The 16,687-nt window shown below is 34.4% G+C and overlaps 1 protein-coding gene and 1 long non-coding RNA gene across 11 annotated transcripts in view; one reads left to right on the forward strand and one right to left on the reverse strand.

Moving 5' to 3' along the window:
* PRKAA1 (protein kinase AMP-activated catalytic subunit alpha 1) overlaps nucleotides 1-16,687 on the reverse strand; it is a 38,986-nt gene continuing 22,299 nt past the window's right edge. For 2 of the 9 annotated variants that reach the window (NM_206907.4, XM_017009624.2), the window contains exons 3-10: nucleotides 16,022-16,115; nucleotides 15,540-15,584; nucleotides 12,331-12,475; nucleotides 10,028-10,115; nucleotides 8,078-8,302; nucleotides 5,364-5,850; nucleotides 5,126-5,252; nucleotides 1-3,634 (exon numbers count right to left, since the gene is read on the reverse strand). In NM_206907.4, the coding sequence (NP_996790.3) occupies nucleotides 3,390-3,634; nucleotides 5,126-5,252; nucleotides 5,364-5,850; nucleotides 8,078-8,302; nucleotides 10,028-10,115; nucleotides 12,331-12,475; nucleotides 15,540-15,584; nucleotides 16,022-16,115 (1,456 nt within the window). In that variant the 3' untranslated portion in view covers nucleotides 1-3,389. Of the gene's footprint in view, nucleotides 3,635-5,125; nucleotides 5,253-5,363; nucleotides 5,851-8,077; nucleotides 8,303-9,047; nucleotides 9,550-10,027; nucleotides 10,116-12,330; nucleotides 12,476-15,539; nucleotides 15,585-16,021; nucleotides 16,116-16,687 lie in introns of those variants that run through there. The other 7 variants (NM_006251.6, NM_001355028.2, NM_001355036.2 and 4 more) reach the window with 5 other exon arrangements.
* LOC124900968 (uncharacterized) overlaps nucleotides 3,629-16,687 on the forward strand; it is a 27,017-nt gene continuing 13,958 nt past the window's right edge. For both annotated transcript variants that reach the window (XR_007058747.1, XR_007058746.1), the window contains exon 1: nucleotides 3,629-5,079. This is a non-coding gene — a long non-coding RNA (uncharacterized LOC124900968). The remainder of the gene's footprint in view (nucleotides 5,080-16,687) is intronic.

The following is a 16,687-nucleotide window of genomic DNA, read 5'->3' on the forward strand; positions in this document are numbered from 1 at the left end:
TAAATGGAGTTTTTCTTTATTATATCATATTTCTAAATCAAGGAAGCTGAAATTATATACTTAAATATACTCTGGTCAAAATATACATGAACCACAAATATTAACTTCTACCTACCAACAATTTACAGTTATGTTGTATGTGGAATTTCATTCTTGTCAGAACTCACAATGGAAATAAAATTTCTATTATGGGTGAGAAGATGAGGGAAAGAATTAAGGGGAAAAAATTTGGACAGCACACACTTTTCTTTCATTCCAAAGGTGCCAGTCAGAACACAGATCCATGGAGTTCCACATCTAGCCCCAGGCTACCAAGCATTAATTCAATGTAAATGGTGTCACTACAACATCAAAAAGAGCAGTGCTAGGCAGAGGATTTTGTATAAAATCATCTAAAACTCTGAAAAACTACAAAAGCATCTCAAGAAAAAAATTAGGTAAAAGCAATGGAGTTTATTTCAGTGAAATTATTTTAAATTAGATATGATATATTAAGCTCCCATATGCCCCAACCTGGTAGAAAAGTTCCTCTCAGTGAGAAATCATTTATTTTAATGGCAAAATTTTTACATATCAGTAAAATCTGTTATACTTAAAACTATGTATACAGTACATTTCTGGCAAAAAACCTTATACATCTTTCAGTTGTCAAGACAAAGTAAAAATATGGTTGCATAAAGTCACAAAAAATATAAACTGCTGAAAAGATAATAAAAAAAGATTAAAAATCATTTGCATTGCCTCCCTTACCTCTTCAATATTAGTAACAATTTGCAAACAACAAAAAAATTGTGAAAATTCTGTTGCAACCTTGACACACTTAACCAAAGGTTGTCATTTCAAATATCCTAGCTTAAAAAAGAATTTACTGCAATTGTCTGTGCATTTATCATACTATTTATAGAAGTGCAATATTTAAATATTTTCAAAATAAAACACAGTAACTAAAATGAATCACAATAACTTATAAGAGAAGCAAAGTTTACAAAATTAACAATTTTTAAAAGGTCCTATTTAATTGGTTCCTCCTTTTCTTCCCCCCTCCCCACAACAGCGTATATAGCGCCATTACTTAATTCCATATACAAATTTGTAACTTTAAAAATACAGTCTTCTGTTAACATCAGGAACATTATGCTGCACTTAGAGACCCTAAGTAAAATTAGAATCCCCTAAAGAGAGGGCCACATAAAAAGTAAATACAGTTTTGAACTCATATTTAAATGGAACTTCTATTACTTTGTACAGCTTTCAAATTAGAAGTTGAATAGAACAAGCCCTGGACAAAAAGCAGCAAGATTTTTCTTTTGAATTCAGTGCATGATTCTAGAAGTGCTTGAGTCAAATCTACTAGAGTCACCATTTATGCAAGCTATCATGACATTTGAGTTCATTATCATCTGGTTACATAAGTGCTCACTGTATTTGCCAAAAATAATCCTAAAATATGATTCTTAAAATAGAAAAAATATAGCTCTGTTGCAATGGGAAAATGATTAATACAAAAAAATCAATTTCTTAAAGTTAACATAAGGCAAATATAAATGATACAATATTATCATACACGATACCAATTTTATCTGAGGTGACTACATCTTCATTTACATCTATTGTGTGATGCAATTAAGAATGACAAAAAAAAATATCAGTGTAAATCAGAAATCTTAGGAAAATCCAGTATCTTTAAAAAGTAATTTAAGCCCAAAACAAATGTGACCACTTATTAATAGAATTGATTTGTTCCATATTTTATCAAAATAATAATAATGTTATATCCAACTAAAGAGTTATAACCAAGTGTCATATGTAAACTTTAATTGGATCCTAGTTTGAAATAATCAGCTATAAAGAAATTTGGAGTTAACTTCAGAAATTTAAATATGGCTTGATTAGATGATATTGGGGAATTATTACTTTTACAATGGTATTACGGATTTTTAGGAGAATGTCATTATCTGTAGGAGATACTTGAAGTATTTTCACGGTGATAAGTATGTCTGTAACATCCAAATGGTTCAGGGGGAAAAAAGCATATATACATACACAAACAAACACATATATGCATATATATGCATAACTAGCTGTATCTATACATATATAGGTATAGAGAAAACAAATGACAAAACATTAACAACTGCTGAATCTAAATGGTAGATATACATGTGCTTACCAAACAGTTTTTCAATTTTTCTGTTTTTAAAAATGTTCATAATAAAATTTGGGGGGGAAGTCATATCAGAGCACTTAAAGTTTGTAAGAGATAGTTTTCTATGCACTGAATCAATTTAAAAGATACATAATCAAATAAGTAGCAATGTGTGCATATACTCAATAATGACTGACATGATGGGCCAGAGGAATTTGTGAAATTGGCAAAAATAATATGATTTATCTACAGTATATGCAACTCAGCTCTTGTAACAAAAAGAACATTTTGTGTACAGAATATCGTGGGAATATTTTAAGACTAAAATTAGTGCTAGAGTATCTGAATATATAAATTCTGTGTTTTTGGACTTGTAAAGCTAAAATGAAATTTAAATTAGGTCTGATATCTGATATGACTTACCATACACTACAGAATTTTAAAAGGGGGATATGGAGGCCGGGTGCGGTGGCTCACGCCTGTAATCCCACCACTTTGGGAAGCTGAGGTGGTGGATCACGCGGTCAGGAGTTCGAGACCAGCCTGGGCAACATAGTGAAACCCCGTCTACACTAAAAATACGAAAAATTAGCCGGGTGTGGTGGCACACGCCTGTAGTTCCAGCTACTCAGGAAGCTGAGGCGGGAGAATCACTTGAACCCGGGAGGTGGAGGTTGCAGTGAGCCGAGACCACACCATTGCACTCCAGCCTGGGTGACAAAGTGACACTGTCTCAAAAAAACAAAGAGGGAGGGATATGGAAGAAGTTATCCAGACTGTTACTACTGCTGGAAGATACTAGCTATTTATGAAGTTAAGGAGCCCAGAAAACAAAATCACCTATAAAGGTCTTGGGAATTCTAGGCAAATATTTATTGAATAAATTTATAACACGTAATATATAACACGTAATAATATATGAAGGCCTTTATGTAAATTAATATTTCAAAGCCCTGTGTACACTAAATATAAAATAGCCAAAAATCAAGTAAGCCTGAGACCTATAATTCACTGTGTATATTATGCTATATACATACTGCACAATGAACAACAAAATGATCTTAATTCATTTCTGCATATTAGGCTTTTAACTATAAATCATGTTCCAATCCCTGTGCAAATTGCATTCCAAAACGCCAGCCCTCGGTTATAATTATGTATAACTTGATTACAAATGGAAGCATTTGGCTGTGACTTATTATGCATGCTTATTGCTGCAAAAGAAATAAGCAAAGTTTTCTGTTTATTGTGCAAGAATTTTAATTAGATTTGCACACATCTCAAAAAATTCTATTGTGTGACTTCCAGGTCTTGGAGTTAGGTCAACAGGAGAAGAGTCAAGTGAGGTCACAGATGAGGTAAGAGAAACTTCTGAGGATTTTCCTTGAGCCTCAGCATCTGAATCACTCCTTTGGCAAGATCGATAGTTGCTAACTGATCCCGATCTCTGTGGAGTAGCAGTCCCTGATTTGGCTTCTGTAATTTCATCTGGGTAAAAAGAATTTCAATTTATTATAGTCTATGACCTTCTCCCAAAAATTTTTGTAACAGTATTGAATTTGCTTCTTTAAGTGGGGCTGCTGGCCAGCTATCAAGAGCACGCTTATTCTAAATACCTTCTAAAACAGTCAATGAGCCTGTATTAAACTATTCATCTTTTTTACATATAGTATGTATTCTCAAGATAGCTAACCAAAGTTGGGTACAGTATAGCTACTCATCAGTTGCAATCCAAGGTTAAGAGCCCAGTAAACCAACAATCTAGGGATTAATAAATATTATTCTATAGCAATAAAAAGTAATCCCTCTATATTAAAATCATAGAATCGATGCACTTAAAATTTGGAGGGTATACTGGAAACCATCTCATCCAGCCCCTCACTTTATTGATAAGAAAACAAACCCAGAGAAATGACTTGCCCAAGGTAACAAATGAACAGAAAGGTAAGTCTAGAACCCAACTCTCCTAAGTCTCAGCTCAGTGCTTTTTACTTTCCACTTTCCCTTCATATTTCATTTAGTATTTCATAAAAGAGCAACAATTCCAATGAATAAAAATCGAAGAAAAACTAAGGTTGGGAACACAGTACAAAAACAAAATGGGCATTCAATTGGTATACCCCAGTACTAGTAAATCTAAGGTTGCAAATTTGATCCAAATACAAGAAAAATAAAACTCATTCCGTATTTCAGACTGCATTAGTATATGTTAGCAGATACGTACTATATGGACCTAAAGATAACCAGACAAACTGGTTTGGCCAACATATCATGGCTCAAACCTGTGTCTTTCTGCTACTATGTGTGTACTATCTTTGAGTTTATAAAGAAGAAAAAAATTCAAACGTGAACCTCATCTAATAATTCTATGCAACCTTCCATAAGCAAAGGTGATACTATATATATATATTTTAATATTTTGTAAAGACAGAGTCTCAGTATGTTGCTAAGGCTGGTCTCAAATTCCTGGGCTCAAGCCATCCTCCCACCTCAGCCTCCCAAAGTGCTGGGCTGTTTACAGGCATAAGCCACCACACCTGCACTCAACAGCGTAGCTTAATGCAATTGAATTGGCCAATGAAGAATTGCCATAACTTCATTCTTAACTGAAAACTTATTTAATAATAAATAAAAGCTTACAGAAGAGTCAATATTTATTTCTAAATAAAACATTGTCTCTTATCAAAATGAACTACACCAAAAAAACAAATGCAGCAGAAAACTATCACCTTAGGATCAGACTACACCTGGCTTTAAGGATTTTACAAGATGATAATCTTAAAAGGACAATATGCTATAAGATTACAAGAAAAATAAGATTCATAAATGTTAATATTGCAAAGGCACAAGAAATCACATTTTTTATTCCTTTGCAGTTGAATTACTAGGAACAAGTCAAGAAGCCTCAAAAGAATCAAGGCGTAAAATACCAAGTTAGTAACAAGGTCTAATCTATGTTGTTTTGTGTGATGTACATACCATCAATACTACGGAAATCCAGTAGATAAGTTCTACTATCCACTTGGTATAACTGTAGACTCATTTTGGAGTAAGTGCTTGTCACAGGATTCTTCCTTCGTACACGCAAATAATATGGGTTTACAACCTAGCACATGGTATAACAAAAACCAAGTCAAAAGTAATTCTTCTATAAAACATTTTATAGACTATGGGTTTGCCAAATATGCTAATAATCAAAATGTTATTTCTTTCTTACCTTCCATTCATAATCCAATTGTTTGATTGCTCTACATACTTCTGCCATAATATCATTTGGTCGACTTTGACTTCTAATTCCTAAATGCCATTTTGCTTTCCTTACACCTTGGTGTTTGGATTTCTGTGGATTTAATTCATCAAGGGTATGGCGTGCCCTTGGTGTTTCAGCAACCAAGAATGGTACTCTTTCAGGATGGGGCCGAGTCAGGTGATGATCATCAAGAAAAGAATCAGGTGGGCTTGTCGCCAAATAGAAATCTTTGGCTTCATTCATTATTCTCCTGTTATCTATTATGAGATGGTAGGCAACTGCCAAAGGATCCTGGTGATTTCTGTTGTAAAGACAGCTGAGAACTTCCTCTTCTGAGCACTCAAACTTTTCACATACTTCTTTTAAGGCTTCATCATCAATCATGGTTGAACTATATGATGGATCCTCAGGAAAGAGATATTTTGGAAGGTCCTGTTTAAACCATTCATGTTCCCTGAGAGAAAAATGGCAGGATCAGGAGAAGGACTTTGAATAGAGCTGAGACTGAAAGTAACAGTTTAGGGAATTTAGAATATGACTTAATTTATATTTATATTCATACTGTATTATTGTCACTTTTTGCACTGAAATTTTCCTCTTCTAGCTCGCACTTCATTGTGTATGTTGAGGGAAATGCTCCAATTTCCCTCCAGTTTTAAGAGGGAGAATGTATTGACACAGCAATGGGGGGAAAAAAGTTATGGGACAAATGACAGCGACAAACAATGAAAAGAACAGCTTATTTCCAGCTTAGAAAGAGAACATATTAGGTAGCTTCATTATAATACTCTTTTGATATAATGTTAAGTGAAGATAATGTAACAACAAGAAAAATAGTAGACAACTACTGAGTACTTACTATATGCTAAGTTTTATGCTAAACACTTCATATACACTATCTCCCCTCATCATCGAAACAATTATATGAAGATAATATCTCTTTGTTTTAAATGAAGGAATTGAGGTTAAAAAAAAAATCAAGGAACATGCTCAAGGTCACAAAGACAGTAAGTGACAGAACCAGGATTATGACCCAGTTCTGTGTGACTGGAAAGGCCATGCCCTGAATGATTTCCTATTCTAATTCCCTAACTTCGTATATTTAAGAATATGTTTGACCTGAACTATGTCACTTTGCTAAAACTAAATAAAATCCAGAGACGAAAAAAAAAACAAGAAAAGAACAATGGTTATCTTCTGGGTCATGGGATTAAAGATAATTTTTTATTCTCTTCTCTATTGTTGGTGTTTTTCTAAGTTTTTTCAATTGTCATGTATTATATTTTAATTGGAAGAAAATAGGTAAAATACAAACAAAAACATTTCTTACCTAGATATCTTAAAATATAAATTTTAGAGAATGATTTGTCCTTTCCCTTTGGTGATAAAATCATGCCGTGCCATTCATGGTCTCTTTTTTAGCTAGTCTAAAACGTGTAGTAAGTGGAAAGTAATCAAGCTTCAAGTTCCACATATAATCTTTCCTTCTTCTTCATTATACTAATGCTTTCATATTTACTATTCCTAGATCCATATCTGATTTCTTTCTTCCTTCTCAGATAAATGTGCAGTCTAGCCATTAGAAGACCAAAAGGACCAAAATTTCCACAGGGGGGAAAAAAAAGAAACAAGGCTTGCAATAAAATTGTTTAAGTCTTCATCAGAAATGGCTCACTCTAATTTGAGAAGAAAATTTGTCATCGTCATTTTTGTCTAATTTAAACTATTAGGTTGAACCAGATGAAACTGGTTATACTGACTTTTACCTACAAAACAGGAATTTTGCATGTAATTCAATGTATACTACCAGGAAAAACATGTCAATTAAATCTCATTCCTTGGGATTAAAAAAAGAAAAAAAATACAATAATTCATGAGATAAGAAATAAAATAGCCACCCACAAATTTACTACTGAAAAGTATTAATCCTAACGCCAGGCATACTGGCTCACACCTGTAATCCCAACACTGGGAGGGAAAGGCACAAGGATCACTTGAGGCCAGGAGTTCAAGACCAGCCTGGGCAAAAATAGCAAGACCTGTCACTACAAACAAAAACAAAAAGCAAAACAATAACAACAAAAAACAGCCAGGCATGATGGTGGATGCCTGTAGTCTCAACTACTAGGGAGGCTAAAGTGGGAGGATCACTTGACCCAGGAGTTACTGGCTACAGTGAGCTATGATCACACCACTGCACTCCAGGCTGGGTGACAGAGCAAAACCTTGTCTCAAAAAAAATAAATAAATAAAAATAAAAGATATACATATATATGGGGCCTCGCTATGTTACCCAGGCTGGTCTCAAACTCCTGAGCTCACATGATCCTCTTTCCTCAGCTTCCCAAAGTGCTGGAATTACAGGTGTGAGCCACAGCACCAATCTTTCATTAGCTTTTTTGTTAATTTAAAAAGTAATATGATGTTCACTGTAAAAATTTCAAAACAAAGATGTGTAAGTAAAAAGTGAAAGCCCTCCCTCTTACGAATCTTACTTCCCTAAGGTAACCAGTTTACTATGTATTTCTAATAACAAAATAAAATAAATGTGTCTATACACTCTATTTTTTTCACATAAAAACAGGATTACACTGTATATTCTGTTCTGCAACTTTTTTTTTTTCACATAACTTTTATCATGGATACTATCAGATCTGATAACTTCCAAACTGCTTTATTACCTGATATCTTTGATTGTGGCCCTCTTCATGGGATCCACCTGCAGCATATGTTTCAAAAGGCTAATCACAGAAGGATTTAAATATTGAGGGGTATAGAAGATCCCATCACATATCTTCTTAAAAAGAGTTGGCACATGGTCATCATCAAATGGAAGGGTTCCACATAATAAAGCATAGAGAATAACCCCACTGCTCCATATATCTACCTCTGGGCCTGCATACAATCTGTAACAGGAAATAACAATTGGATTAAAGAATCATTTTAACCTAAGATTCAGTTCATCAAAAACTTCAAATATGGATATTTCATAAAGAATTCTTAAGCAGAATATGGTTTTTATAGCCACTACTACATGTTACAACGTTAATTCCATCAGTATTATCTTTGAAAACAAAAGTCAAGAAGTTTGTAAATTACACACCATGGCTAAAATTCTGTTCTACTATTTACTATGGCCCTGATGGGATCTGACAATAGGGCCAAATCTTGAACAAACATATCACTATTCAATTTAAAACCATTGGTTTTTGTTACAGAGGAGAGATTAAGTGATATTTCATCAACTGAGAATGTTCTTTAGTAATGGACTCTGAGCCCACAATCCCAATAACACAAGACCCCTTACACCAAGGTGAAAGGATCCTGAGGCTGTGAAAGAAAGCCAGGCAAATTGGTTCACAGAGTTTTTAAATCCCGTTTGCAGTGCATTGTAGTCAAGTGCCTTAACTAGCTGCAGACTAGTTAGATCACCCATTCAAAGCCTGGATTCAGGAAAAGGATTTCTTTAAATTTATGTACTGCTGAACTGATCGATAAATATTATTTTGAAAGTAAAAGTTCTCATACACCAAGAGCTTGAAGAAAGACTTTATCCAAACTAGAAAAATTAAATTTCAGTAATAGCCCATTGCATATATGCACAGTTATAACATTTCTTTTTATTTATTTAAATAACAACTTTCCACAGTCTCCATGTCCTGAATTGTTTTATTCCTAAAAGAATTAAGATAGACAACACCATTTTTTTAAAAATTTTTTAAATAATTTTTGACATTAAGTTAATATTTAAAAAAAAGATGAAACTTGACAAATCTAAAATTAGGTACTCCTGCCTTACTCACAGCCATATTTTTACACAAATCTCATTTCTTTGAGCAGTCTAGGCCAACAAGCTTATAAAAATAGAAAATACTACAGTATTTCTGCATTGAGTTAATCAAGATGCAAAACATTCACACAAATAAGCATGGTTTGGGTGAAAAGTTATTAAAAGTTCATTATAAATCTAGCAAACTTCAGCTTCTGTTTTCAATTTCAGTAGTATAGTGAAGGACAAAGAGTTATTCTTAAAAATATTAAATTCTCCTGTTTTCCAAACTATTCAAAAAGCGACACTGTACAAATATCTTCATGTTCTCAATGCTGGTAGTTAGTAAATTGAGAGGTTAAAATTCTTATAATATTGCAGTCTCTAAAAGGTTTAAAGAACAAAGATTCAACATAAATGAAGTCTAAAGATTACTTCAGCCCAGTTCCCCAAGACATTTTATCATGAAACATAAAGGTACTACAAAATGCCATCTATGTAAAAAATTAAAGCTACACATTACATGTTTAATTTTTCCTCTAAGTAAATAGTAATCCTTTTCTAACTACTAGATATTTCTGTATTATTCAAGTTTCCAGTGTCTTACCTACTTTTTAAACACCCTAGTTTTAAACTTTCCATTTCTTCCACCTGGGAAAAAAATTAATGTACTCTCTTCTAACAACTTTAATATAATGTTGACTTGTAGTCCTTAACCCTCATTCACATATAAATGTGGTTAAGAATAAGCCTTATCTTTCTTTCCTTTCATTAGAATTAAATATGACACTATAGACTAACAAAATCTAGGAGAAAAAGACAATTTCAAATGTATTGAGGGAGGCAGGGTATCAAATACTACCTTCCTGAAATTACTTCTGGTGCAGCATAGTTGGGTGAGCCACAACTTGTTCTTAAAAATTCACCATCTGACATCATGTTTGAAAGACCTGAAAGTGCACAAAATCAGCTACTCAAAAGATTTCCCAAAGACAAAAATTAAAATCCCATTAAACAATAAAATTGAGTTTGCATTAAAATGATAAATCATCATTTTGTTATTTGCTTCAACAAAATCCTATGGTCTATTGTAGCCAAATATTCTGCCATTATGCCCTAAAATGTGTAATCTATTTCAACATTTAAAGTTAGTGCACTGTTAGAGTTTAATACAAATATATTAAGCTGTTGGTTATTTTGCTTATTAGAAAAAACTTGCCATGTTTAAGTTTTATTAATACAGAAATCACTAGGGAAAATAATCTATAACAGATGAATAGAAGGATTAAAATTCAAAGTTCCTATTAAGCCTGTTCTGATTCTTTAAAAAAAAAAAAAAAAAAAAAAACAGTAATTTTGAATTTCAAAGTTCCCTCACAGTTTTACTCCAAAAAGAAACTGTTGCTCCCTCAAAAATGCACCCTATAAAAATAATCAACTGAGGAATAAGAAATTCAAATAATTTAGCCAATTACTATTTTAAAAAAAAACAAAACACCAAAACAACCAGCTCAGGTTTGGTTGGCATTTTCCAGTTAATCTCTGAACATTTAAATAGATATAGTTATAGATATAGATACATAGATGTAGTCAAAACTGAGGAAAATTTTTATAAGAATGTTCTCTGGGCCAGACATGGTGGCTCACGCCTGTAATCCCAGCACTTTGGGAGGCCAAGACAGGCGGATCACTTCAGCTCAGGAGTTCGAGTCCGGCCTGGCCAACATAGTGATTCCCCATCTCCACCAAAAATTAAAAAAAACATAGCTGCATGTGGTGGCCCACATCTGTGGTCCCAGCTACTTGGGAGGCCAAGGTGGGAGAATTACTTGAGCCTGGAAGGCAGAGGTTGCAGTGAGCCGAGATCGTACCACTCCAGCCTGGGTGACAGAGTGAAACTCTGTCTCAAAACAAAAAACAAACAAAAAAAAGTTATCTGATTTGAACTAAAACCAACCTAAAGAAAAGAAGAGATTCCTTTTTCTCTTAGGTTTAGTAAGGTCAATGGCAATTTATATAGGAAATACAGAAAAAATAAATTCTTTTTTTTTTTTTTTTTTTTTGAGACCGTGTCTCACTCCGTCGCCCAGGCCGGACAGGCGATCTCAACTCACTACAACCTCCACCTCCTGGGTTCCAGCAATTCTCCTGCCTCAGCCTCCAGGGTAGTGGGGACTATAGGCACGCACCACCATGCCCAGCTAATTTTGTATTTTTAGTAGAGATGGGTTTTCACCATGTTGGCCAGGCTGGGCTCGAACTCCTGACCTCAGGTGATCCGCCCGCCTCGGCCTCCCAAAATGCTGGGATTACAGGTATAAGCCACCACGCCCAGCCAAAATAAATTCATTTTTAACAATCAAAATGTTCTTTAAACAAATTATAATTTACTATCATTTAAAACATTTTTAAATTTTTAAATAAATTTTTTTAATTAAAAAATTGTTTTAAATAATTTTAAATAATTAAATTCACATAGTTCACTTCTGGTTTTTAAGGTTTTAAATAATTCCATCCCACTCACTTTCCTTCTTCTCCATACTTGATTCTTTTGAACATACTGGAAATAAAGCTGCTACCTTCTCTTTCACAAATAATACTCTTTTCAAATAGTCTCTCTAATACTACCAACTTAAGTTGTTTAAAATTTAATTTTAAAGATATTTAAAGAGCCAGGTGCAGTGGTGCACACCTGTAATCCCAATACTTTGGGAAGCTGTGGTAGGAAGATCACTTGAGGCCAGGAGTTCAAGAGCAGCCTGGACAACATAGTGAGAACTTGTCTCTACAAAAAGACAAAACAGCCTGGCATGGTAGTGCACGCCTGCAGTCCCAGCTACTCAGGAGGCTGAGGCAGGAGGGTCACCTGGCCCAGTAGTTTGGGGATGCAGTGAGCTATGATCACGTCGCTGCCCTCCAGCCTGGGCGACAAAGCGAAACCCTGCCTCTATAAAATAATAGTAATAAAGACATTTAAAGCTAAGAAAAGATGATTTCTTAGCTTTTCTTCTTTTTGTATCTTCATAGACAAAACAGAATACTTTGATATACTCAGTCTATTACTTTATGTAATCTTTTACAGTTATCTGAAGAATTCTAGGTAGGTTCATTGAAACTATAAGAACATTAGAAATGAACGTTAAGAAACTATAAAATTATCCTTACCAAAATCAGCTATCTTTGCATTCATGTGTGCATCAAGCAGGACATTTTCAGGTTTCAAATCTCTATGGACCACCATATGCCTGTGACAATAATCCACACCAGAAAGGATCTGTTGGAACAGACGCCGACTTTCTTTTTCATCCAGCTAAGAAAAGTTAGAGAGGCTTTTTAAAGGTGTGTCTTTCAAAGTAAATTGTCCTATCTATAATTCTCCAACCTATAAAATTGTCAAAATACATGAAAATCTTCCCAATGAACTTCACTTATGAGATACTTTTGACATGAGGAGGAGATACCTGCAGCACAAAACAGAAATGCTAAGATGGTCTTGGAACCCAAATCAGTAACTCAAGTTTCTAATATTATCATTTGCATATGACTACATTGTAACAGCTTGCCTTCCTCTATATCTCATGAGTTATTTCAAATAATTTCAATATCTACTTGAAATTTGGCATATTTCCTTTTATAAGCGGCAAATGTTTACTCTTTCATTCTTTTAACAAATTACTGAATACCTTCAACGTGCTACACATTGCTTTAGACACTCATTACACAGCAATGAATAAAACAAAGGCTAATCTAGTTGATGAAAATAGACTAATAAATATAGTCAGAAGGAGTGATACTGTTTTGAAGAAAAATAAAGCAAAATATAGGTGCAGTGAGTGATAGTGGGGTGAGGGACACTATTTTAGACCATGAGGAAGTAATATTTAAGCACTATTCATAAACCAGCAAGCAACTATGTTGCTATATGTCCTAAAATAGAAGACATTTTAACAACAAACACCTTAATTCATTTAATAAAATATCATAGCATTTTATCTTTAATATGCTTGCTAAAAAAAAAATCTTACATAGCAACTACCTTTTCATTTTTGTTTTTTGTGTTTTTTTGGGGGGGCGGGGTTTTAAATTTATCTATATTTTGAGATCCAGTCTCGTTCTGTCATCCAGGCTGGAGTGCAGTGATGCCATCACGGCTCACTGCAGCCTCGGCTTCCCTGGGGTCCCGCAATCCTCCCACCCCAGCCTCCTAAGTAGTTGGGACCACAGGCACATGCCACCACGCCCACTAATTTTTGTATTTCTGATAGAGACAGGACTTTGCCATGTTGCCCAGGCTGGTCTCGAACTCCTGAGCTCAGGCAATCTACCGCTTCAGCATCCCAAAGTGCTGAGATTACAGACATGTGCCACTGCATGCAGCCTGAAGTATTTTTTTTAAACTTCTCTATGTATCCATATATTATTACCACTTTTTTCAACATAAGTGACAGCCATTACTTGGACATGCCTGCTCCCAAGAAGTCATATTTAATAAATAAGCTATTAATCCTCTAGGCGAAGGACTCCAATATGCAATTCTCTAACACAGGTCACAAATTAGCATTCTAAAACCAGACTTACACCTTAAAGGGCATGGATAATATGGGAGAAAATACAAATCAGTAATTTATTTTGAAACAAGAAACTATTATAAGATACCATTCCTCTAGAAAAATACTAATCCTTTAGCATTCTAATACTTTTATTTCTAGATTTGTAGGTTCATGGGGAAAAAAAAGAGTATCTGTTCAAATATGAAAAAATAGGAGAAAACTTGATTAAACAAAATATAAAAAGTAAAATAGACAGGCTACAAAAATGAAAATTATACTGTATTAGTAACAAGTACAATTACAAAGGATGGAGAAAGGGATGTCTATAAAGGAAGGTTAGAAAAGTCAAAATACATTTCCAATTAAATGTAACAGATTAAATCTTTTGTCTCCAACTCTTGAAACATCACTAAAATGACATCAGCAATAAAACAGGCATATAAAGACAAAAAGAACAAAAGAGACAGCAGTAATCAAGAGGAGTCACCAAGGATGACAATAGATAAACAGTAATAAAGACTAAGCCTACAAGAGAAAGCTAAAACCTAAGCCTATAGGGGTAGAAACCAGTAAAAAATAAACATCTGCATACAAAGCCTGGGAAGCCTTAGAAATTGGAAACACAGGGAACTGCTCAAGGTAGAAGTGAGAGATGAGCTGAAAACAGGACAAGTGCTTGAAGTAAGAAGCTTTTAAACTCACCCATATTGGGGAATAAGACCTATAATTTACTCTAGTAAGGCTGAACCAGCTCTGCTCTCAAGGACACCAAGGCAGGGATAAGGCATCCTAAGGAAAACATGGGGGCTAAGACAAAGTCAACATACTAACTAGTGAGACTTGCATCTCTTTTCTCCACTCAGCTCCTGGAGCACTGGCAGCTAAGCTAAGGCCTTTAAGGAAATGGGAAGGTTTCTTCTGGAGCAAATATCTGATCCAAGAAAACATATTTGTTATTATTAGCATTTGGTATACAGTAATAAAACAGACAAGTCCCTACCTATTCAAGCTATGAGAAAACCCAGCAATCAGTAAGTCCTACCCACATGAGCCTGGCATTTAATACCCTATTCTTAAATATTTAGTGGACAGCCAAGAATCACCAAATATCTGAAGAAGGGCCATGCATCAAAGACAAAAATGAATAAAATGAATGCAGAGAGCACAGAAGGTACAGAACAAGACGGAACAGAGGAAGACTTTTTTTAAAATGCCATCCTCAGACTAGGTTATTATATCTGTGAGGCAAATAACAGCAGACTAAAAAAATGAAAATTTCAGAAAATAAGAAACTTTTGAAATAGAAAATACGGGTGCTGAAATTTTAATATTCAACTGGTAAAACTGAAGAAATACCCACAAGGTAAAACCAAGAAATAAACAACAACAGAAAAGATAAGAAAAATATATATCAATTGTGCCTGTTTCCCATTTCTCCAGGCAGAATTTTTTTTTTTTTTTTTTTTTTGGTAAGGAGAAGCAGGAGTAAAGGGGAGTACCTGAAATAGAAATGAATCATGTTAAGAAATAGTAAAATCAAAATTAACTTGGTTAATAAGTTTGATTTTGATAAAAGTAAATAGACATGCTATATAGAACAAATGAATGAGTAATGTAAATAACTTAAAATTGAGAGAAAAGCTCTCTTTTCAGGGCTAGCTACAGCTCTCCCACAAAGGGGCTTTTGCATACCACATAACCTGGGTATGAGAAAAAGTATGGGCAGAGGGCAGTGTTGAGTTTTTGTATCTGTAACTTAAGGTAGTGTTCAAAATGTCCTACAAAGTTCCTTCCAGCTGTAAATTCTTTATATCTAATTCCTACCTCCTTCGTGGAGCCTGTTTTTACTACTCCAGGTACATCAGATTTCTGAAACCAAAAAATGAATGCAATTTAAATGTGGCTAGAATTGACTAGCAAGGCCTAGATCTTTAAGTAATAATAATATATTTTGTAACGATTAATTACATTAAGATACATATTCAAAGTATTTGTATACCCTGGAAGCATAAGTCTGAGGATTATGAGTTCTGGGGGCTCAAGCCAATTCCGTCATTAATAAATCACGTTACTGTGAGCAATCATATAAGCCGCGAGGCTCAGTATCCACATCTGTATAAACAGGCTAAGGAGATAATCTTTAAGATCCTTTCTAGTTCTACATAGTTTATGATTCTAAACAAATATATGACTAAGGGAACTGGTTATTAAATAGACCTCTTAAAATTGGTTGCTGACATTTTGATGCTAGTAAAGGATAAAGGGGAGTTACAAAATACATACAGAATTAAAGCAGAACAGCTTACCCTTCCATTCTTACAGATATAATCAAATAGCTCTCCTCCTGAGACATATTCCATCACCATGAAAATATCAGATGGTGTACTGATGACCTGGTACCTGGTGAGAGAAAACATTGTCTACAAATATTAAAACACATATATTCATTCATTCAATAAATATTTACTAAGCACCTATAGTATACCAGGTACTAGGCTAGGAGCTAGAAAAACTGCAGGAAACAAAAATTCTCTGCTCTCATGGAGTTCATGTTCCAGGAACCAGGAAACAGACACTAAATAAATAAGCAATATCTCAGGTGGTGGAACATGCTATGAAGAAAAATAAAGCAAATGAAGGGGAATCTTTGTATACAGAGTGCTAAAGGAAAGCCTCTAATAAAGTAACATTTGAGCTGAGCCTAAAAGAAGAATGGGAACAAATTATGTAATTATCTAGGAGGAAAGCGAAACTGGGAGAGGGAATAGCAACTGCAAAGGTCCCCAAGTAGAAGCCTGCTTGGCATGTTCGAGGAATATTAGAGAGAAATAGGATGTAGAGTCAAAGGTGTTAACTGCAGGCCAGAAGACACAGAATTTTACAAGCCATGATAAGGCTTTGGCTTTTACTCCAAGGAAGATGAAAAGCTATCGTACGTTTTAAGCAGTCATGTGATCTGGCATATTAAAAGT

This window comes from Homo sapiens, chromosome 5 (assembly GCF_000001405.40).
Source record: "Homo sapiens chromosome 5, GRCh38.p14 Primary Assembly".
In the NCBI taxonomy this organism is placed as follows: Eukaryota; Metazoa; Chordata; class Mammalia; order Primates; family Hominidae; genus Homo; species Homo sapiens.